We start from the raw sequence: 24,539 nt of genomic DNA, 5'->3' as shown, positions 1-24,539 counted from the left end.
ATTCTTTTAGAAAAACTTTTAGGATTCTGCTTTCTGAACAATGCCATCCTAAACTTCATGCAACTGGAATTTAGTAAAGAGAGAAATGGTAAGGTACCCATACACATACAGTATTTTACAAGACAAACCCATATACACAGAAGCATAAACATTTGCATATTGAGATCATCCTGGCCAACATGGTGAAACCCTGCTTCTACTAAAAATACAAAAATTAGCTGGGTGTGGTGGTGTGTACCTGCAATCCCAACTACTCGGGAGGCTGAGGTAGGAGAATCACTTGAACCCGGGAGGCGGAGGTTGCAGTGAGCCTAGATTGTGTCATTGCAGTCCAGCTTGGGCGATAAGAGCAAAACTCCACCTCAAAAAATATATATATATTTGCATAAAGAAAGGTAAGTAGATTTGAATTGATGTTACCAGGGAGTGAAGGAGCAAATACTGTGATTTGTTTCGGGGTAGCCAGCGTTAGGCTGATTTTGGAGCTCAATTAAAATATGGATGACTGTATTAGTTTTAACATGTATTAAAACCAAGTTGAAAAATAAGAAAACAGGCACTCTTGTATGCTACTGGTAAGATTATACATCAGTACAACTGCAGTGGAAGGCAACATGATGATATCTTTCAAAATTACAAATCCATATACCATTTATCCGAAGAATTTCTCTTCTAAAATATATATCCTGTAGAAAAACTTACGAACGTGCAAAATGTCATGTGCAAAATGTGCTTGCAAAAGATTGGAAACAAACCTGAGTGTTCATTGTGAAGAGACTGGTTAAATAAATTATGGTACTTCTAAACAAGAGAATATTGCATAGCCAGAAAAAAGAATGAGGATTTTTTCTTTCTATGAATTGACATGGAATGATCTTCAAGATAATCATTAGTTGAAAAAAGTCAAGGTGTAAAAGAGTGTTTATAGTTGGCTACTATTTGTATAAAAAGCAGGAAGAAAGCATGTCAGTAGATGAATGTATTTGTCTGTTCTCATACTGCTAATAAAGACATACTGGGTAATTTATAAAGAAAAAGAGGTTTAATGGACTCACAGTTCCACATGGCTGGGGAAGCCTCACAATCATGGTGGAAGGCAAAGGAGGAGCAAAGATACGCCTTAGGTGGCAGCAGGCAAGAGAATGTGTGCAGGGGAACTGCCCTTTATAAAACCATCAGATTTCGTGAGACTTATTCATTGTCATGAGAACAGCACAGGAAAAACCTGCCCCTGTGATTCAATTACCTCCCACTGGGTCCCTCCCACAACACGGAATTATGGGAGCTACAATTCAAGATAAGACTTGGGTGGGGACACAGCCAAACCGCATCAATGAATTAGATTGAACCATAGGAAATTGCCATTATTAGACTGTTTTTGACCTGCAACCAATGGAAATGACAGTGGAATGACAACCACATCCATTTGGTTCCACCTAATATTTGCTTGAAGATGCATAAAATCTCTCTGAAATTGTACACTATAAATTGACAATATTGGTTGTCTTTGGGGGCAGAGCTCAGTTAACTAGGGGGTAAGGAGGAGATTTTGAACATTGTGAATATTTAATCATGGGGATGTACTATCTATTTAAGAAATAAATAACTAAAATTACAAAAAAATTTGGCTGAGGAAAATCATTTTCTTATCTTACTACAAAATAAAACAGAAATATCATATTTCTACACCAAAGCAACTAAACATTGTTTAGTTTTCTTTTTCCTTCCACTTTGCCAGAAGACTTTAATAATGATCTCAAGATATTGTATCCAAGAAGAAAATACCAGCATCTGTAGCGTTTTTGGGAAAAAGAAAAATATTCTACATCAATAATTCTGTTCACAGAGACTGTTTCTGAGTATTTCTTCCTGGTGACTGCAACTCCTGAAACTACTATAATGACTCAATTACATTAACAAATGAAGCAGTAAAGAAGAATGGAACCATTAAGCCAGATATGAATATAAGCACATTAAAGGAAAATGAATCTTTATTCCTGCTCGATAGAATATTAGTTGTAGTGGACATGTTGAAAACTACTTCCTCAACAACTTGGATGATAACTCAAAATCCAAGTAGAAATGTCAAAAGACAGAAGGTTACACTTAGATTCACCTTTTAATAGCATTTGTATGTAAAGGTAATTAAATTTTATGAATTGAAATTTTAAAGATAGGGTGTATATCTTAGAGACCAGCACTGTACTAAACAAAGCAACTTGTTCTCAGCCAGATGCTCTAACATCAGGGGTGTTGTATCCTCACCTTATCACTGAACATAAGGAGTTTTCGATAAAAATACAACCTATGTGAGGGAATACTAAAGAATTTTAAATATTTTCTACCTCTTAAAAGAACACACAGAAATAACCCAGAAGTTTGCTTAGGGGGGAAAAGAACTAAAGAAAATGACCTTTTTACATTTCAAATTTTATAGAAATTAAAATTTTAAGGTACAAAATGATTTTTAAGTGTTACCTGCTCAAGAATTAGCATATACTGGTTATAAAATCAGACACGAGTGATGTTCTGAAGAGGCACACTTTAAAGGCTTTCTTCAGCAAGCAAACATCAGGTGGATTTTCTTTCTTGAAATATAGGTGCCAAAAGTCTTACAGGACCCAGAGTTTTATTGCAGCCCTGGAAAGTCATGGATTCACTAGGCAAACATATATTAAGTGCTACTACTGAATATTAAACGTGGTCATTACATCACAAGAACCTGAATGATCAAAGAAACACTGCATTTATTTTGTGTTACACACCATCTTATCACACTCTTTGAAAATTGTTAACCTGATTTTTAACCCAAGTGTGCTGTGACTTTCAGGTAACCAGAGTATTAAACCTGTGAGCTCTTTCCTCGATCATTCTCTGTAAACCAGAGCTTCCCTATCTCTACCCCAGTGGCTGGGCCCCTGTGCTGCTTTGTGGGTCTCCTGAGACAATCTCTACTCTTTTAGAACTCTATGCTCCAGCTTCACTTAATTAAAAGTGATCACTTTAAAAATGGGCCTAACGTCAAAACAGACCCTGCTTCCCTCATGACAGCAGGATTCAAGACCACTTCTTCCTTTACTGTGGAATGAGGCGACCTGAGAAAATACAATTGCCTGTTAAAACTCCATCTGCTTGTTTTCTACTTTAAAGCTCACATAGTACTTTCATGGCCACCCTTTCTCTTCATTCTTATGGTAAGCTCTTGTGGCAAATGTGCAAATATTATTTGCTTCCACTTAAGGGCAAGGAATAGAGAGGCTCAAAGAGGTCTACAGGCCTGCCTGAGTAGTGTGACTGGGATTAGAAGCCAGTCTCTGGAATTAATGTGGGAAGATAGTGGGGATGTGAGTGTGGGCCTTATGTAGCACTTCATACACAGATTAGAAAGAATAATTATATTGTACTTATCAGGGTATCCATACAAATGTCAGAGCTTGTGTAGAAATCTGTAAAGATGAAGTGAGTACAATTATGTCTAAGCGGACTTCCCTGCACAAATGTTACCAGACATTTACTTACATTTTGGACGACAGAGGTTTCGAAATTGAGCCTGTAGAGTTTGCTCCACACCAAACATGAAACAATTCAGTTTTCTTAAAGGTGCAAAAGGATCTTTTGGCATTTAATAATAATTTTACAATATGACTAGTTTGGACCCTATATCTAGAGAGGGCTCCAACTTGCAAATCCTGGACAACTTTGTAGTTCCTTGCATCTTTGAATTGATGTGCATTGCTTTGTGTCTGAAAATTAATCAAGACCTTTTATTTGCAGTCTACTGCTTATGAAAAGCAATTTCCTGCAACCAGTAAGGACAACTTTGATATGTGCAGTTCAAGTTTCACATCTAGCAAACTCCTTCCAGCTGAAATCAAGGGAGAAATGGAGAAAACCCCTGTGACTCCAAGCCAAGGAACAGCAACCAAGTACCCTGCTAAATCCGGCGCCCTGTCCAGAACCAAAAAGAAACTCTAAGGTTCCCTCCAGTGTTGGACAGTACAAAAACAAAGCTGCTCTTGTTAGCACTTTGATGAGGGGGTAGGAGGGGAAGAAGACAGCCCTATGCTGAGCTTGTAGCCTTTTAGCTCCACAGAGCCCCGCCATGTGTTTGCACCAGCTTAAAATTGAAGCTGCTTATCTCCAAAGCAGCATAAGCTGCACATGGCATTAAAGGACAGCCACCAGTAGGCTTGGCAGTGGGCTGCAGTGGAAATCAACTCAAGATGTACACGAAGGTTTTTTAGGGGGGCAGATACCTTCAATTTAAGGCTGTGGGCACACTTGCTCATTTTTACTTCAAATTCTTATGTTTAGGCACAGCTATTTATAGGGGAAAACAAGAGGCCAAATATAGTAATGGAGGTGCCAAATAATTATGTGCACTTTGCACTAGAAGACTTTGTTAGAAAATTACTAATAAACTTGCCATACGTATTACAGCAGAAGTGCTTCAGTCATTCACATGTGTTCGTGAGATTTTAGGTTGCTATAGATTGTTTAAGACAGCTTATTTTAAATGTAGAAAAATAGGAGATTTTGTAACTGCTTGCCATTAACTTGCTGCTAAATTCCCAATGTATTGATTAAATCAATAAAAAACAGATGTTACTCAGCACATTAATTTTTATGTTAACAAGAGGTGAATATAATAAGGTCCTCTAAGCCTTTATGCAAATTATAAGTTTGTTCTACTGCTGCAATGGTAGGCACACATCTTTGGGGAAGATCATGAAGCAAGAAACAGGGGACCATACCTCATTTCTCTTAGCTTTATAGACATCTCCTTTCCACCTGGGTAACTAATTTTGCCAGTTGAAGTCAAACTGGTTGAATAGCTACTTTCCTTTGCTTCCAAAGCAAATTCTAAAGAAAGAATTTGCAATTGCTTTTACCTTCATAAAGTCATAACCTAGTTCCATTCCAACCCCCCATGGAACTGTCAGGTCTCCAAAATGGCCCACATCTGGCCAGCTGAGCATATACTAGTTGCATTTAAATCCACTTGGTAACTAAAAATAGTACGTGTGCTTCTTGCAGTTAGTTTAGAAGACACTATTGTGATTCCGAATGAGTCAAAGATAGCACTGGCCTGTGTTGCCCCACGTGGTTCTGCCAGTATTTTCTTAGTACCTTCAGTGTGCTTTCCTTGGGGGAACCTGCTGGCCAAGGCATATCTAGTGGAAATTGTCTGTATTTTATTTTAAACTGTCATTAACATAGCTGCTTCAAGATCTTTCTCCCTTCTTGATGTCTAGTTCCAGTCGTATCATAAGCCCATAAACCATATCCTGAGCTTTAAGCTTTCTCTCAGGGTTTAGTAAGCCAGTCTTTAAAGGGCGTGTTCTGTTCACCTGATGAGAACTCTGGCTTCATTAGCTAAGTGGAGCCTTCCCTTCCCTAGTAGTCTCAAAGGCAGATGTGTGCACTGCAGTTCCGTCACCTCCGGCGGGGAGAAGCAGGGACCTAGTGCACGGTGGCTGCTTGTCTCCTTGCAGAAAAGCCTAACCAAGATGGTGGCTTTGATTCTGCCTATTCCCTGGGCTTGAAAATGAAATATTCTGTATATTAAAAATACTCTTACTTTCACAGTGATATTCTTTTGGGATTAGAAGATCCTATTGTTAGATAGAGTACTATCCACACTTCTCTTGGCCCTAAAAATTAGCGATTCTGCTCAGTAAGCTTGAGCAAAGGTCCAGAACTAACCACTAACTAAAAGATGAAGTCATTTTATAACACGTTAGTGTGTCTTCACCTATTCCCACCTCACACCAGGCAAGGCCAGCCACCCTGCCTGTCATATGATGCATTCTATTAACGCCCCTCCATCGAGGTGTTCATTTGATTTGTAGGAGTCATTTTAATAGAAATTTAGCTCACTCTTTCTAGAGAGAATTTCCACATCATTTTTGTGTTACTTAGTGGTATTTTTGTTACTTCGTTGTGTAGAACACACTTGGACCAGGCCATGTCTGAGCTTTGTTTCCAACAGATGTGCCTCTTTAAGGTCTGGGGATATATGGCCTTCCTTCCTCCATTTGCTTTCACAGCTGTGAAAAAAGGGCGCTCTTCCATTTCAGATTGACTTTCAATGACTGATAGGCCAACTCGAAGGCACCAATAACAAACACTGTGACACCTCCTGTGCTCCATAGCATGGGGAGCTGGGTTTTGCTGTGATCCAGCGGGACATAGTCTGTCTAGGACAGCACAGCGCAGGTGTTATTTTCAAGGAATTCAAGTAGCGATCCGCATTCCAACTTGAGTGACAGATAAGGCAGGCAAAATATGATAAAAAGAGAGGAATGCAGGCAAGCTGGGGACAAATTCATTTGAGGAGAATAGAGGATGATATCAGAGAAGGCCTTACATCAGAGAAGGAAGGAAAATGGGGATATGTGGAGCAAAATGAAAATAAATTATAATTAATAAAGAAGACAGGATGACAACACATGGTTCTGCCAAAGCCGGAAGCCGGAGCGAGAGGAGGGAAGCACTGCTCATAGAATATTTGGTTGTTCCAGGCCAGTCTGAGGTAAAGTTAGCCCCCTCCCAGGGCCCGTACACAGGCAAACCTAGAAAAAGGCACAGGATGAGGAAACGAAGACCCAGGGAAATGGAAGCTGAGATTTTAAGAGTCAGCCACAAAGTTGTCCTTTCATTTTGAGTAGGAATGTTGTGTGGTGCTGCGGGGGTTGGGTGGGGGCCAGCCAAAAAAAATCAAAACATCTTGTGCTTATCACTGAAATGCTTTGTTTAAATAATTCTATTTGACTCCAAAATGTAAGTTCCAGGTTAGACAGATCAAAAGCAACCAGTCTTGAAAATGAAGCTTTTTAAATTCCAGCCGCGCTGTTGGAACAGAGAATAAAGGCTTTGTTTAAACATGCATTCCCAGCAGCAAGCAGAGCTTTGAAATTGGCCAGGGAAGTTGCGTCCTATAATGGCTGTGCTTGGCTAGAGACCAAGGAGCTGTGGCCTCTGGGAAATGACCCTGGGCTGGATATTTTCTATCTGCCCCTCCAGAACCACTCTGCCTGCTCTGCCGTCTCTGCCCAGAGAGGCTGATCTTCAGGTACTGCATTAACACACTCCCTGGGCTTCTGGATTCATTGGCATTCTGTCAATGAAGGCACCAAGGGGAGATGAGAGAAGGGGAGAGCCAGGTCCAGACGCTGACTCCCGAGTGCCTCCCTGCTCTGGGCCAGGCTGCTGGGCATTTGCTGCCTTCTTTGGTGGGCGTGGCTCCTGCCAGGCAGCCCTCTTACAGCTGTGTCCCCTGCCCTTGCAGGCCAAGACCAGCCTGTTGCCCTGGCTACTATGTCTTCCTTTGTGGGTTTTCCCAAACCCTCTCAGTGCCTTTATGAACAGTCTCTGTTAAATCCTCAGCTTCCGCATTTAAGTTTACCACCTGTCTTTGGCTGCAACTCAAGTGGTGGAGACCCTTTCCTTATCAGTGCTGCATTGTTCCTGACCCAAGGTAGTTTTGTCTCTGGCTGCCAGTCTCCTACCAAAGTACAGTAAAGGGCAAAAAAGATAAACGAGCTCTTCCTGACACAAAGAGATTCACCTGGGTGGTCACTAAGGGTTGGGGAGGGGCTGGTGGGGAGATGTTCCTGAGGTTGGGACCCAGGTAGGGCAGGATACCTGGAGCGTTGCCCGATACCGAACCTGAAATCTGAAATTGTCTGGGCTCAAGGTTTGGGAGCCTAAAGAATGCAACACTTCACTGTGACAGCCAACAGAACCTGGGAGGAGGCCACCCTACACTGGCTGCTTGCTGCCAATGAGAGACCAGGGAAGGGGCTTCCAGGGGACCCCGTGGAGCCCAGGAAGCACAGGAGACCTGAAGACAAGACGTCTCCTGGGCTTCGTGTTCGCTTCATCTCTACAAGCACTGAAATCACTTTACAAAAGCATTTTAAGGTAAAAGTTTTTACTATTCAAAGGTCTCACATCGTTCAGTTGTACTCTTCAGGATCCTGCATTTTTCTGAGTGAGCTGGCTGAGAACCGATTTTGATTTCTGTTCAGTACATTGTTATCACTTAATTCTCATTGGTGAGCCAATTTTCTTTGCCTTTGTTCTTCAAAGCGAGGCCGCATCTGCGGCTGTCTTGCATTTCTTGTGGCTGCCTTCTTCAGTCCCTGCTATAATCAGCTCAACTCTGTGCTTGCTGGGTCAGTTCTCCATATTTCCCTGAATAATCTGGGTCAGCCCTCAGAGGAGTGGTGGGGGTTCCCACCACTGCCCCATTGGGAAGATTAATAGGACTTTTGCAGTGTCACCATGGCACTCTCAGGACCTCCCCTTCCCTGTTGCCCAGTGCCATCCCAGGTACCTTAGCCAGATCCTGGACCTCCTCCTCCAAACATGCATCAGGTCCTGTCCTGGCCCAGAGAATGGGACTAGAGACGCCGTGCAGACCCTGTCTCCGTCCAGGCTTCTGCTGGTTCCTCTCCGAACTAGATCCTGTGGCATCTTCACACCATAACCAGGGCATTGATACAGGGGCCATAGAAGTCTCCCTGCCCTTTGGGGACCAAAACCTCCCTGTAGGCAAAATCCTGAAGCCAGGCTATTCTTTAGGAAAGCTCAGTCAGCACAAAAAGTTGTCTCCATCCCCAGGAGCAATTGCAAGGCTGGAGGAGTCAGCATTCCCATGTGACTGAAGGGTGGGGCGGGTGGGGTGGAAGATGGAGAGCAACTGACCCCCTCACTGGACCCTGAGGAAGATGCCCTTGCAGGGAGGTGGCAGCTGATATTTCCTGGTCCAAACACTGGCTTCCACTTAGTTACTAGAATCAAAGTCTTTTTGCAAGCTGGACTTTGAGCTATAATAGTGGATGGGATCCATTTTAACTAAAACCCCCTTTCAGAGTCATGATGTAACAGCAGCAACAGTTACAGAGCACTTATACATGCCAGACACCATTCTAAGCACGTTACGTGTATCAGTTCTTTCCATTCTTACCACGGCCTGTGAAGTTGATACCATTATTATCTCTACAGAGAAATGAATTAAGGCACAGAGAGATTAAGAACCAAGGTCTTAATGTCCAAGGTCTTGTGTCCAAGGTCACACAGCTAAGAAGTAGCAGAACGTAAACTGGAACCTGGCCAGTGTGCTCAAGTATCACTGTTGTACTATATGCCTCTCAAGATGTTCGTGTTTTTGCTCCCCTACTCTTTAGGCCTAAGCTACCGTGAAGTTTGATCCCAGAGTTTCAAAAGGCCGAGCAACTCACAAACACCTCTGTCTCCAGCAGGAGCCTAGAGTGATAATTTTGACAAGTTTGGGCTTGAGGTTTCAGAAGGGAGTGGAATTATTTTGCATGTTGACGAATTTGGTCGAGACTCAAGCACTATATCAGGGAAAGCTGCATTCTGAAGGACTTTGCGTGATAAAAGTAAGTTCTCAAGGCTTTAACTGGTCCTTTTGTCTGGAGCAGTCTTTAGAAGCCTTTGAATATGTTTTTAACCGAAGAGAGAAAAGAGGCTCCGTTCTTTCCTCAGGAATTCACAGGGACCGTCCTTTCTGTGCAGACATGACAGATCGATGCTTACCAGGAGCAAAGTGTGATTCCCATCTCAGGGCAGCTGGGGGTTAGAATCACTATCATGTTTCGATTTCCCACATCCCTTCATCAGGTGGTGTGAGCAGCTGTGCCGCTGAGCAGGTGGAGTTCAGATGTGGAGTCCACCTCCCCATCCTGCATTCCTCTAGCTTTTGCCATTGCTCACTTCTTTAGAGGACGGTTAGGCGCAGTGACGTTTTGTCCCTTTCACATTGACACCGTCCTGGTTCAGGGGGCAGCCATGTTCCCATAGGCTCCGCGGATTCTGTGGTGCAGGACGGGAGACGTCTGCTCTGGGCCTAAGCCAGCAGCGGGGGATGGTGCCACCTCCCCCTGGCTGCCCACCTCCCAGGCCACTGCCTGCCACTTGGTCCCAGGAGAAGAGAGGCAGTTCTTATTCAGGATCCTCATTGCTGTTTTGGAACTTTGGAAGAAAAGGCTTCTAGCTACCCAAAACCATGCAAATGGATAAATTTTTACAAGAGTTGTTTTTCTTCCAGAAGTAATTACCTGGTTGTAGCTTCAGTCCCTTGCCCCCATCAGCACAGAAATTAGTCATGAGACTATAGTCATTTAGCCACTTAAGTTTCATATCAACTTTCTGCTCACCAACTTTTTTATAGCAGTCCCTGACCAGGCTTCATTACTGTGTAGCCCAGCCCGTGTGAAATCTTGGCAGAAATGTCTTACCTGCAGTGATTCTGATTGCTTGGAGGGGAATAGTCTGACTACCACCAAAATCTTTTTCTTTTCCTGTATAAGATGACCAGCATCAGACCCCGTGGCACCAGCATGGACAGAGTTGTACAAAAGATGTTCATTAAGAACTGGATTGGCCGGGCGCGGTGGCTCACGCCTGTAATCCCAGCACTTTGGGAGGCCAAGGTGGGTGGATCACGAGGTCAGAGATCGAGACCATCCTGGCTAACATGGTGAAACCCTGTCTCTACTAAAAATACAAAAAATTAGCCGGGCGTGGTGGCGGGTGCCTGTAGTCCCAGCTACTCGGGAGGCTGAGGCAGGAGAATGGCGTGAACCCGGGAGGCGGAGCTTGCAGTGAGTGGAGATAGCGCCGCTGCACTCCAGCCTGGGCAAAAGAGCGAGACTCCATCTCAAAAAAAAAAAAAGGAACTGGATTGAGAGACTCAGTCATTCATTCAAGAAATAGTTGTTGGCCACCTACCATGTGCCAGGCACTGATAGGCGCTGGATATAAAACAATGTGAAAGGCAGTCAAAACCATTGCCCAACATAGGGAGCTTGTAGCCATGGGGGCACAGAGACAGATGATGGCCATCTATACAAATGCGTAAAATAATTATATATTGTGATTAGAGATAAGGCATTTCTATATAGAGTGCTATCATAGAGGATTACAGGATAGGAACCCTCTGGAAAGCCTCTCTAAGGAAGCCAACCGTGGGAAGAGCCGGGGAGGGATGTTTTAGGCAGAGGGAACAGGGGAAGAGCTTGATGGAGTCCAGGACTTGGCCCAAAGGCCAGGATGATCAGGGAAGGGGAGAGACAGGGGTCAGGTCCTGCAGGATTTAGGGGGCCACAGGAAGAAACCCTTTTATTCTAAATGCACTGGGAAGCCATTGAGGGCTCGACGTCTGATTATGTGTTTAAAGGATCCGTTTGTCTTCTGTGTAAATGAATTATGCAAAGTGGAACAAAAGTGGAACCAGGGAGATTAGTTAGAGGACATTGAATAAGATGGTGGCAGAGAAGATGGAGAGAAATGGATTGATATGAAATATGTTTTGGAAATCAAATTGATAGGATTCAGTGATGGATTAGAGGTGATGGTTGAAGAAGAATGGGTGAGGAGGCCAGGGATGACTTTGGCTTCAGTAACCAGATTGATGGTGGTGTCGCTTCCTGGGGAAGGCCAGGCCTGGGCTGGCAGTGGAATGAAGAGTTCTAGTGTAGGGTCCTGCCCTACAGGGCCTAGTGGTGTTCTCTTCATGTGTGGAGACGAGAGATTGTAGAAAAATAAGAGACAAGACTAAGAGTATGAAAGACAGCTGGGCCCAGGGGACCACTACCATGAATGCGCGGAGTCCGGTAGTGGCCCCAAATGGCTGGACGCACTGCTATTTATTGTATACAAGGCAAGGGGGCAGGGTAAGGAGAGTGAGTCATCTCAAGTGATTGATAAGGTCAAGCAAGTCACGTGTTTACAGGACAAGGGGCCCATCCCTTTGTGATCGCCGAAGCAGACAGGGAGGACAGCATACGTCAGCGTTTTTTCTACGCACTTATCAGAGAGATCAAACACTTTAATACTTTCACTATTTCTGCTACTGCTGTCTTCTAGGAAGTTAAAAGGAGGACCAGGTGTACAGGCGGAACATAAAAGTGAACAAGGAGCGTGACCACTGAAGCACAGCACCACAAGGAGACGTTTAAGCCTCCGGATGTCTGTGGGCAGGCCTGGCTAATGTCCGACCTCCCGCAAGAGGCTGGTGGAGCAGAGTGTTCTCTAACTCCTCCAAAGAAAGGGAGTTTCCCTTTCACGGTCTGCTAAGTAATGAGCGCCTTCCCAGGCACTGGCATTACCGCAAGACCATGGTGCCCTCCAGCGGCCCTTATCCGGACGTGACAGAGGGCTCACACTCTTGTCTTCTGGTCACTTCTCACAGTGTTCCTTCAGCTCCTGACTCTGCACTGGCTGGTTATTCCTTGGTTATAATAATAAAACAGATTAATACTAAAAACTAATTATTATGATTATCCATATATGATCATCTCTATATCCTATTTCTAGTATAACTTTTCTTATTCTAAATACTTTCTTTATTATATTGGAACAGCTTGTGCCTTCACTCTCTTGCCTCGGCACCTGGGTAACTTTCTGCCCACATCTAGCTGATCGTATGAAGTTTGAGATCTCTATCAGACCTCAAAGTGGAGATGACTACTTGAGATGGATTTAAGGGTTGGAGCAGATCAAGGTGGATAGAGAGAAAAGAGCCCTAAGGTGGAGAAGGATGTGAAGAGAGACCCAGAGTTAATAGCGAAACTGTGTGCAGAGGCTTCTGGGTGCCTGACAGGGCTCACAGAATCCAGGGAGACCTGGTATCAAGGCACCATCTTGGTCCACACAGCAAGTGTGTCTCCCTCACTCAAGGACTAGGCAGTGACTGTATTTTGGCAAGAAGAAGGATGAGAATGGAGTGGAATGACATGAAATGCCATTCGGAGAAATATCCCTGGGAGATGTGGCCAAATCTCCTTATCGCTTGATTAATTGAATCTGAATAGTGACAGTTTACAAGCCCTCAATAGCTAAATCATAATTCCATAGCCTTCCATTAGCAATAAATCAGAAAATGGTGGGCCAGGTATTTTGCTGAAACCCATATTTGCAGAATCCTGGACTGTCTGAACTGTTCCTTCAGCCCAACTCTTCCTCAGTGCAGAAGCTGCACCCACAGCCAGCTCCAGTGAGCTCCCACCTCTGATGACACGTTCCTGGGGTTGGGGGCTCCCTACCTCCCAAGGCAGATGAATTCCACTCTGGAAACACCTAAGTGTGAGAAAATTCTTCCTATCATCTGACACCTGCTGCTCACTGGCCCTTCTGGAGCTCTTTAAAGGCCTCTCCAGCTGCCACATCCAGCCCCTTGGGTTTGAAGGTAATTCCCACAGCCCTGTGTGCCTTCTTCAGGCTAAACATCCCCATGTCTCTTGGACTCTTCCTTAGTGACATGTTTCTAGGCCCTTCATTCTAGTTCATCTGGGTCTTTTTCCAAAATTGAAGTCAGACCTCCAAGTGTGGCCCGTCACCCCCAGTCCTCGGAACACTGTGCGTCTGTCACTGCAGTCCATTGTGTTCCTGTTAACAGGGATTCGTGGACAATCTAGTTTGAGTTTACCAGGACAGGCTTTAATGACAATGTGTCCCTGAAGCATGGTTATTTTCCTATCAGTGTCCTTGTGGTGGACTTTCAGTGACTGCTAAAGAGGCTTTTTGCAGTGTGTTGCCTGTGGGGAGCAACAGAGAGTGTGTTGAGTCAGCGCTCTGGGGTTGGGTCTGAGTCACAGAGCCCTGAGATTATCCAGGAAGACACACTCATTTTCCTTAAGTATCGGTCTTGCTAATTATCCACTGAGATATATGGGGAGGGAAGAAGGCACAAACCGAATTACAGGCCTGCTTGCCAGAGGATGCCTTAGTGGCTTAGCTCCTGCTGGGGTGGCGGTGGGAAACAGGAGAGGTTTGGCAACCTCACACAGGACCTGTCCTGGACCCTCCAAACAGGGTGAGCGCAGGTGTGGTCTGTGTCTGTGTAAGCTGCATGTCCCCACGCCTCCCGCCCACAGGCACTGGGGCACATTAACTTCTTTGCCTAAATGGAATGGCTCTGAGCCCTCTCTCCCCATGCTACTATCAGGAATCTGAGTCTTTTGCAGGGAAGACTCTGAGCGCCCTCCCCTGAACATCTCTGAGAATTCCCAGGAGTGTTCACACATGTCCTTGTCCACTTGTGGCTCTTTGCCTGAGGCAGAGGCTCAGATGCATCATTTCTGATGTCCTTGCCTCTCACTTTCATTTCCAGGGCTTCTGCTCCCCAGCTACCATCAGCGACTGTGCAGCCTCTGGTCAGCCAGGGGCTGTGGCGGCAGCTGCCCAGCAAGATGCCACATGTCCAGTGTGATGAGCGCCAGGCCCAAATCCCAAGTGTCACCCCAATGTAGCGTGACACAGCAGCCGGGCCCTGCGGTCCTCCGATGTTCCTCGCTGCAGGATGTCCCTTCATGTGGACTGACCTCGTGGAGTGGAGTGGATGTGGGTGGCAAGGGTGTGCTGGTACATAAGCCGTAGGATGTGGGGGTGGGGGCGAGGCAGGAGTTGGGAAGAGGTGTGGTGTGGGAGAGGCACGGTGCATACTGTGGTTACAGAGGGATATGGGTGGGAAGGAGGTCTCAGCAGAGATTGCTCTGGCCCTTCCCTTCTGGGTCTCAGAAGCTCCCCAGGTAATCCTGACATGCAACGTGTCTGTTTCCTATCTGGGCCCCAAACTAAAGGGATCTGTAGGCTATTTCCAAATTGCAAGGAACATAATGGAAAAAGCGTATCTGCCTATAGTGAAATGGCTCAGACCACACTCACCTAAAGTTTTTGGGTAATAAAATATTTCAAAACACAGAGCTCACAAAAGAAATAATGACAGGCATCGTTGGAGGTGTAAAGGGTGAGAGGTAGTCCAGCCCCTCACTGTACAGCAAGGCCCAGGGACAGGGTGTTCCAGCTGCTCGGTGCTCACTAGACCAGAAGCCAGGTGGGGTGTCGGCTACAAGTGGGGTGCTGGGTGCTAGGTGATCTCTCATGTTTCTGCATTCAGGATGTTCACTGTGGGATAAACCTTCCGCCTGTGGGATCCTTATTTGGGGATCAGGGCAGGCACAGGCTCTTGTGGCTTAGTCACTCACAGCCCCAGCAGCTGTCCCTGCTTTCATTCTCCGTGGGTCAACAGCAGGAGCCCTAACCCTTAGCCACAATGGAGTGGGGAAGGGGCAGCCAGGAGACTCTCGGCTGACAGATTACTTGGAATACCCCTTACTAATTATGTAGCAGTCCCCACAACTGCCTTTGCAAGTTAGATTTAAAATGAGGTGTGTTTTCTTAATTTTTTTTATTTTAATAGCTTGTGGGGTACAAGTGGTTTTTGGTTACACGGATGAATTGTACAGTGATGAAATCTGAGATTTGAGTGCACCCATCACCCGAGTAGTGTACATTGTACCCAATATGTAGGTTTTTATCCTTCGCCACCCAGCACTCCTTCTGAATCTCCATAGTCCATTATACCACTCTGTGTGCCTTTGCATATCCATATCTTAGCTCCCACCTGTAAGTGAGGACATAGGGTATTTGATTTTCCATTCCTGAGTTCCTTTACTTGGAATAGTGGCCTCCAGCTCCATCCAAATTGCTGCAAAAGACATTATTTCATTCTTTTTGATGGCTGAGTAGTGTGTATATATGTGTGTATAGTAGTGTGTATATGCCACGGTGTATATATACCACATTTTTAAAATGCACTCATTGGTTGATGGGCACTTAGGTTGGTTCCGTATCTTTGCAATTGTGAATTGTCCTGCAATAAACATACATGTGCAGGTGTCTTTTTGATACAATGATTTATTTTCCTTTGGGTAGATACCCAGTATTGAATTGAATGGTAGATCTACTTTTAGTTCTTTGTGAAATCTCCATACTGTTTTCCATAGGGGCCGTACTAATTTACATTCCAACCAGCAGTGTATAATTGTTCCCTTTTCACCACATGCCCACTTTTTTGACTTTTTAATAACAGCCATTTTTTTTTTTTTTTTTGAGAAGGAGTTTCACTCTTGTCAACCAGGCTGGAGTGCAATGGCATGATCTCGGCTCGCTGCAACCTCTGCCTCCCGGTTTCAAGTGATTCTCCTGCCTCAGCCTCCTGAGTAGCTGGGATTACAGGTGCCCATGACCATGCCAAGCTATTTTTTGTATTTTTAGTAGAGACGAGGTTTCACCATGTTGGCCAGGCTGGTCTTGAAGTCCTGAACTCAAGCAATCCACCCATCTCGGCCTCTCAAAGTGCTGGGACTACAGGCATGAACCACTGTGCCTGGCCAATAATGGCCGTTCTTAAGGCTCATATACTGTTGGTGGGAGTATACATTAGTTCAACCATTGTGGAAAACAGTGTGGTGATTCCTCAAAGACCCAAAAACACAAATACCATTCAACCCAGCAATCCCATTACTGGGTATATACCCAAAGGAATATAAATTTTTCTGTCATAAAGACACATGCACGTGTATGTTCATTGCAGGATTATTCACAATAGAAAAGACATGGAATCAACCTAAATGCCCATCGTTGGTAGAATGGATAAAGAAAATGTGGTATATAAACACCATGGAATACTATGGAGCCACAAAAATAAATGAGGTCACGTCCTTTGCAGGAATATGGATGGAGCTGGAGGCCATTATCCTTGGCAAACTAACACAGGAACAGAAAACCAAATACCACATGTCCTCACTTATAAGTGGGAGTTAAATGATGAGGACTTATGGATAGCACAAAGAGGGGAACCACAGACACGGGGGCCTATCAGAGGGTGAAGGGTGGGTGGAGGGAGAGGATCAGAAAAAATAACTAATGGGTACTAGGCTTAATATTGAAGTGACAAAATAATCTGTACAACAAAGCGCCCATGACACAAGTTTACCTATATCACAAACCTGCACATGTAACCCTGAACTTAAAAGTTAATTTTTAAAAAAAGGGCATTCTTCAAGAGTAATGTGGTACCTCATTGTGGTTCTAATTTGCATTTCCCTGTTGATTAGTGATGTTGAGCATTTTTTCATGTTTGTTGGCCATTTGTATATCTTCCTTTGAGAAATGTCTGTTCATGTCTTTTCCTACTTTTTGATAAGATTATTTGTTTTTTTCTTGCTAATCTGTTTGAGTTATTTGTAGATTCTAGATATTAGTTCTTCGTTTGATGCATAGTTTGCTAATATTTTCTCCCCTTCTGTGGGTTGTCTGTTTACTCTGATGATTATTTCTTCTGCTGTGCAGAAGCCTTTTAGTTTAATTAGGTCCCATTTATTTATTTTTGTTTTTGTTGCATTTACTTTGGGTTCTTAGTTATGAATTATTTGCCTAGGCCAATGTGCAGGAGAGTTTTTCCTAGGTTATCTTCTTGAGTTTTTATGGTTTCAGGTCTTAGATTCAAGTCTTTTGATCCGTCTTGAGTTGATTTTTATATAAGGTGAGAGATAGGGATCCAGTTTCATTGTTCTACATATGGCTAGCCAGTTTTCCCAGCACTATTTATTAGATAGGGTCTCCTTTCCCCAATTTATGTTTTTGTGTGTATTGTTGAAGACCAGTTGGTTTTAAGTATTTAGCTTTATTTCTGTGTTCTCTTTTCTGTTGCATTGGTCTACGTGTCTACTTTTATACTGGTACCACGCTGTTTTGGTAACCATAGCCTTGTAGTATAATTTGAAGTCTGGTAATGTGATGCCTCCAGATTTGTTCTTTTTGCTTAGGATTGCTTTGGGTACTTGGGACTTTTTTGGTTCCATGTGAATTTTAGGATTTTTTTTTTCTAACTCTGTGAAAAAAGATGTTGGTGTTAGGATAGGAATTGCACTGAATCTGTAGCTTACTTTCAGCAGTGATATAGTTTGGCTGTGTCCCCACTCAAACCTCATCTTGAATTATAGTTCCCATAATCCCCACATGTTGTGAGAGGGACCCAGTGGGAGGTAATTGAATCATGAGGGCATTTATTCTCATGCTGTTCTCGTGATGGTGAGTGAGTTCTCATGAGATCTGATGGTTGTTTTTGTTTGTTTGTTTGTCTGTTTTTTGAGATGGAGTTTCACTCTTGTTGCCCAGGCTGGAGTGCAATGGTGCGATCTTGACTCACTGCAACCTCTGCCTCCCAGGTTCAAGCGATTCTCCTGCCTCAGCCTCCCGAGTAGATGGGATTACAGGCATGCACCACCATGCCCAGCTAATTTTGTGTTTTTATTAGAGACGGGGTTTCTCCATGTTGGTCAGGCTGGTCTCAAACTCCCGACTTCAGGTGATCCACCCACCTCGGCCTCCCGAAGTGCTGGGATTACAGGCTTGAAGAGATCTGATGGTTTTTTAAGGGGCTTCCCCCCACTTCGCTCTGAACTTCTCCCTGCTGCTGCCATGTGAAGAAGGATGCATTTGCTTCTCCTTCCATCATGATTGTAAGTTTACTGAGGCCTCCCTAGCCCTGCGGAATGGTGAGTCAATTAAACCTCTTTCCTTTATAAATTACCCAGTCTTGAGTATTTCTTCATAGTAGCCCAAGAATGGACTAATACAGGCAGTATGGTCATTTTCATGATATTGACTCTTCTAGTTCATGAGCTTGGGATGTGTTTCTAGTTGTTTGTGTCACCTATGGTTTCTTTCAGCAGTTTTTGTAGTTCTCTTTGTAGGGATCTTTTACCTCCTTGGTTAAGTATATTCCTAGGTATTTTATTTTTTGCAGCTGTTGTAAAAGGGATTAAGTTCTTGATTTGATTCTCAACTTGGTGGTATAAAGCAGTGCTACTGATTTGTGTACATTGATTTTATTACCTGAGACTTTACTGAATTTATTTATCAAATCTTGGAATCTTTTGGAGGAGTCTTCAGGGTTTTCTAGGTATATGATCATATAATTGGTAAACAGCTGTAGTTTGACCTCCTCTTTTCCAATTTGCTCTTTCTTTCTCTTGCCTGATTGCTCTAGCTAGGACTTCCAGTACTATATTGAATAGAAGTGGTGAAAGTGGGCATCTTTGTCCTGTACCAGTTCTCAGGGGGAATGTTTCACCTTTTCCCCATTCAGTATGATGGAGTGCTGTGGGTCTGTCATACATGGCTTTTATTATTTTGGGGTAAGTCCCTTCAATGGCTAGTTTGTTGAGAGTTTTTATCATAAAGGATGCTGTATTTTGTTGAATACTTTTTCTGCATCTATTGAAATGATCATATGATTTTTATTTTAATTATGTTTATATGATATATCCCATTTTGAAGTGTGTTTTAATTGGCCAGTTTTTAGGGGGGATTTATTTTAGACAAAGGTGAAGATTAAGGGGTCTGCAATGGCCCTGCCTAGGCAATGGATCCAGCAGCATCAACCCCACAACTATAGGGGTATCTACTGGTCACTCTCGATTAATGAGAACATCATCTCTAGCTTCTAGTTTTTGCTTTGGCTGTGTCTTGGTTGAAGGAAAATGGAGGATTGTACAAGGTGCAAAGGGGCACTGTCGAGTTAGTGGTTTTGATAAATGGACCAACATGGGCAGGATATAGGACACTGGGGAGGAGAGAGGTGATACTAGGAAAACAGCTTCAGATTATGCTTCTGAAGCTGGGAGGTTACGAAGGCTTCTACAGTGGAGCCTTTCCTGCCCAGTCAGACTGTTGAGGACTTCAGGTTTCAGACTATACTAGGGATGGTTGGAGCCAAAGTATGGCAGCTGGAAGATGTGATCTCACTTAAAAGAAATGCAGAATCGGCCGGGCATGGTGGCTCATGCCTGTAATCCCAGCACTTTGGGAGGCTGATGTGGGAGGATCACGAGATTAGGAGATCAAGACCATCCTGGCCAACATGGTGAAACCCATCTCTACTAAAAATACAAAAAACTGGCCAGGCATGGTGGCTGGTGCCTGTAGTCCCAGCTACTCAGGAGGCTGAGGCAGGGGAATCACTTGAACCCGGGAGGCAGAAGTTGCAGTGAGCTGAGATCATGCCACTGCACTCCAGCCTGGTGACAGAGTGAGACTCCATCTAAAAAAAAAAAAGAAAAAAGAATCAAAGCCTGCCAGGACAAGACTGTATTGCAAATGCCTCTCCACTTGCAGAGATCAGACCTGATGAAGAAAGTGCACAGGAGAGAAGAGGGGAAGGAGAGCTCGGAGAACCAAATTCTGTCTTAAGCCGTCTGCCTTCTCCTGGCTTTGGCTAATGGTATTAAATACCCTCCACCCAGCCCCACCCAACATGCACATGTGAACACACGTGTGTGCAGCTTCTGTCCCTCACTGCTGCAGGGGACAGATTTGAGCTTGCCCCCGTGACATGCTTAGACACACATAAAGTCATAGTCACTTCTGCCCCCTCCTGCCCAGGACCCAGGTTCCCAAGGATCAACCGAGATCCCTGTTTCCCAGAGCCTTGCCCTGGTGGCTGTCGCTCAGTGATGCTTGGGCTGGCTGGAATCACAGCTCTGACCCCGCTCATTCCCCTGGAGCCTCTTTGGAATATTCCCTGGGTGGCTGGCTCTGGAAGGAAGCAAAGGAATGCATTTGCCCTGTTGTATGTCTGGAAATCTAAGTAGCCTGAGTGCCTGGAGATTAGCCTGTATTCTCCAAGCTGAGTTTCCCAACTCTCCTGGCTAGGACTCCTTGTATTAGTCCATTTTCACACTACTATAAAGAACTGCCAGAGACTCTTTTCCAATTTGCCCTTTCCTTTATGAAGGAAAGAGGCTTAATTGACTCACAGTTCCACATGGCTGGAGAGGCCTCAGGAAACTTACAATCGTGGCAGAAGGCAAAGGGGAAGCAAGGCACCTTCTTTACAAGGTGGCAGGAAGGAGAAGTGCCAAGTGAAGGGGTAAGAGCCCTCTATAAAACCATCAGATCTCGTAAGAACTCACTATCATGAAAACAGCATGGGGGAAACCACCCCCATGGCTCACTGATCTGCCTCCACTTTCTAGGGAAAGAATTTGCAAACAAGGAAGTTGCAGACAACTCACTGCTGGCACCGTGTGTGAACTGCCTACATTCTATTAAGGAATATAAGCTTAAACACATCCTAAAGCAATTATCTGTGAATTTGAAAATCATTGAGTAGTTCTATTATTTTTACCTTGACCATATATGGCCAGTTACTTAAATTAACACAAGTTCCAGGAGTATATCACCAATAATAAGTTTCTTTCTGTCAAGCAATGGGGGGAGGAAGTGGTGAGTAATTCCTGCCTCTGAGGTAGCCATGGGATAGAAATGTTTCCCATTTCAACCCATATGGATGCCTGCCTTAAATGCTAGTTGTTAGAAAGATGTACATTGGAAACCCTATTGCAAATAAATGTCACTGCAAGTTGTAGGGTTAACCAACAAGCGACTAAATTGATAATGATGAAGCTAAATTAATAGTAGTCTGTAGTTAAAAGACAAGAGTAACATTAATTAAAACCACAGTCACTCAGGATGGCATCTCTTCAAACCTTGCAAGTGTGCATTTCTGTGGGAGCATTAGTGCTGCCAGACTGTTTAGGAGGGCTTGGCATCAGAATCCTCTGGAAACACATTAATAAATTTAGTCTGTGCTACAAGATGGAGGAAATGTTATCTGTTAAAATTCCTCATAGGAAGGGAACTATACTTCCCTGCCAAATATCCCTTGGTGGGTCCTCGGGCTAGGAGATGAGGCGGCCGCCAGACCAGAATCTGGAGAGAGCTTTGAGGGAGAGGTGGGCTGGTGGAAGGGTGGGTTGGGGAATATGTGTCCACTGCTCTGGGTGAACAGGGAGAAAAGAACAGCGAGGTAATTGAAACACTCTGTTTGCAGTGTGACCTCTCTGCGTGAACATCACTGTTACAGGCTGAATGTTTGTGTCCCCTCCTCCAAATTATTGTGTAAAGCTCCAGCCCTTCCCCCAGTGTGACTGTATCTGGAGGTAGGGATTTTATAGAGGTATGTTATGGTTAATTGTGGTCACAAGTTTGGGGCCTGGAGCCAATAGTATTAGTGTCCTTATAAAAAGAGACACTGGAGACCCCGAGTATGATCTATCCTTCTCTCTCTCTGTCTCTCTCTCTCTTTCTCTGCCAGTGAGAAGGTGGCCATCTGCAAGGCAGGAAGAGAGCCCTCACTAGAAACTGAACCTGCAAGGACATTGATCTTAGACTTTCCAGCCTCCAGAACTGTGAGAAAATAAAGTTCTCTCATTTGAGCCACACGGTTTGTGGTATTTTATTATGGTAGCTCGAGCAGATGAAAATAACCTCCTACCTCTACCAACGCCCCCAACCTCCCAGCTCACAGAGTACAAGGGGGTTGGGGGTGGGAGCTAGGGAGGGGCCTGAGCTCTGTGCTCTAATTGGCCCTTGAGTGAGCCCCTGTGGACCCTGGGGCAGGTGAGAGGTAGTGGGAGCCCAGTGGCACAGAGAGAAGCATCAGAAAGTCAGCCCTGGCAGCTTGGAGACATCAGCCAGATCTCTAGACTTCCACAGGCTGTCTAACTGGATTTGGAGGCAGCAAGGGCTTCAGCTGAGAGCTGGGAAGACACACATAAGCATTGTGTTAATAACTTTGGCGCTTACATAATTGGGTATCAGTAAGGAGGCCTGAGATGAAAGAAGACAGGGAAGACCAGGAATTGCATGTTGTCATGGCTAAGTGCCCAGGAAGGCACCTGAACACTTGGACTGCTGGTGAGAGGCAGGAGGGGCCTCTGGGCCCCCTGCAGCTGCAGCCACAGCCCCCTCTTTGAGAACCACTAGTCAAAGGCACGGGTTCCAGGGAGGCCCCCAGAAGGCCACCCACTTACATTTTTCCAGCTCACACTCAGCCGTGTTCTTCCAGGAACTCCACGCCCCACAACCTGCAGCCTGGGCCTCAATCACTGGGATGATCCCGCTGTGAAGAGGGTCTGCTTATAGCTGGGTCCATCACGGTGGCAGTGGAGCCAGTATCACCTGGTGATGCCGCTGAGGACCAGTAGAGCCATCTGGGCCTGAGACCACCCTGAGCCCCCTGTGTGGAGGCCCCTCCTGTCTATTTTCTACTTTTCTGCTGTCATATTCTTCCCAGCCATGCCTGGGCCCAGCCTGATCCTCATACTAGCACCCTCATCGTCTTCCTCGCAGCTCCCAGGCAACCTGCTACATCCTGCCCCTGCCTTTAACCCAGGGCTCCTGGTAGGGGTAGAGGCTGACGTGTCCTATCAAAATCATCTGGGCAGCGTTCTCTCTCCATGAGGGCTCCACACCCCCAGCAGTGTGACTTTGTAGCCCCCTCATCAAGAGCTGGAGTCTGTTCCCCAACCCCTTGAGTCTGGGCTGGCCTTGTGACTCACTTTGGCCGATGAAATGCCATGCCCAGAAACATGTGGGTTCTGAGCTTAAGCCTTCAGAGGCCTCGCGTCCTTCTGCTGTCTTGCTTCCCAACCTTTGCTGTGAGAACAAGCCGAGACCAGCCTCCCGGAGGGTGAGAGACCATATGGCACAGAGCCCAGTCATCCCAGCCAAGGTCCAGACATGGGAGACAGCCCACCTGAGGTTAGCAGCTCCCCAGATTTGGGTCTGCCCTAAGGGGAACAGTGGACTCTGCAACTGCCCAAAGCGCTAAATGCAGAAGCCCTCCCTGCTGCATGGGGTCTTTTCCCAAGCTGACCTTTAGGGTCTTGATGAGCCCTGCCTGGCTACCTCCATGACAGTCCTCACCTTCCAAGCAGATCTTCTCAGAGAGGCTGGTCAGTGGCAGGGTCCCAGAGCCCCCGGAAGAGGCCGCCACGCCCTCAGCCTTGCAAGCCAGAGCAAGACATGAACTCAGTCTGCAGAAAGACATGGTCTTGGCCCTTGGATGCTGTCTTAAGGGCTGTAGTGGGCAACCCCACAGATTGAGGCAGTCAGGGAGGCAGTACGCCTGTCCCAGTCAGCCTTGGGAAGAAGATGTGGCTGTGAACTCAGGACTAGCCGCCCTTCAACCCGCCTATGCGGTGGGATGCATGAAGAGCAGGCCTCAAATCCAAAGTCTAAGCGCCAAAGGTTCACTGTCCCCACATTTCTCTCATGAGTGTCTGCCTTTCTACTAGTTTCTAACTGGGAAGCTGAGGTTGTGAGAGTTTTCCTGAAAGACTGGGGTGTCTGGTGTTCATGTTGGACCCCAGGTGGGGTGAGGCTTTCAAGTATGAGCAGTTTCCCTACCCCCTCTCCCACCCACCCCTTCTCCAGGCCTGAGCCAGCCAGGTAGAAACATGGGATCTTGGTCTAAGGACCCCGTGGATCACTCAAAGCCCCCTGCTTTGCAGAGTGAGACCTTGTAAGGCCTTACAAGGGCCCGATTGGTGTTCATAGAACTTGGCCTGAGCCTTGCAGCAACACCAAGCTCATGGCTTATAGGGCAGTCTGCTCTGGAATAGTGTGATTCCAGCTACTAGAAAAGACTTCTTGGCCGGGCATGGTGGCTCACACCTGTAATCCCAGCACTTTGGGAGGCTGAGGTGGGAGGATCTCTTGAGCCTAGGAGTTAGGATCAGCCTGGGCAACAAAGTGAGCCCCATCTCTACAAAAAATCAAAATATTAGCTAGGTGTGGGTCCAGCAACTCGGGAGGCTGAGGCAGGAGGATTGCTTGAGCCCAAGAAGTCAAGGCTACAGTGAGCTATGATTGTG

The 24,539-nt window shown here is 45.4% G+C and overlaps 1 protein-coding gene across 53 annotated transcripts in view; it reads left to right on the top strand.

Annotated features, from left to right (window-relative positions):
• Positions 1-24,539, top strand: part of STK33 (serine/threonine kinase 33) — a 259,405-nt gene that overhangs the window by 197,744 nt on the left and 37,122 nt on the right. For 51 of the 53 annotated variants that reach the window (NM_001289059.2, XM_047427463.1, NM_001352399.2 and 48 more), the window contains one exon: positions 3,775-4,615. The exons of the other annotated variants lie outside the window; for them this stretch is intronic. In NM_001289059.2, coding sequence (NP_001275988.1) covers positions 3,775-3,975 — 201 coding nt within the window. In that variant the 3' untranslated portion in view covers positions 3,976-4,615. Of the gene's footprint in view, positions 1-3,774; positions 4,616-24,539 lie in introns of those variants that run through there. 53 annotated transcript variants of the gene reach the window in all.

This window comes from Homo sapiens, chromosome 11, assembly GCF_000001405.40.
Source record: "Homo sapiens chromosome 11, GRCh38.p14 Primary Assembly".
Taxonomy (NCBI): Eukaryota; Metazoa; Chordata; class Mammalia; order Primates; family Hominidae; genus Homo; species Homo sapiens.
The sequence above is the reverse complement of the archived record's forward strand: the minus strand, read 5'-3'. Positions and strand labels throughout refer to the sequence as shown.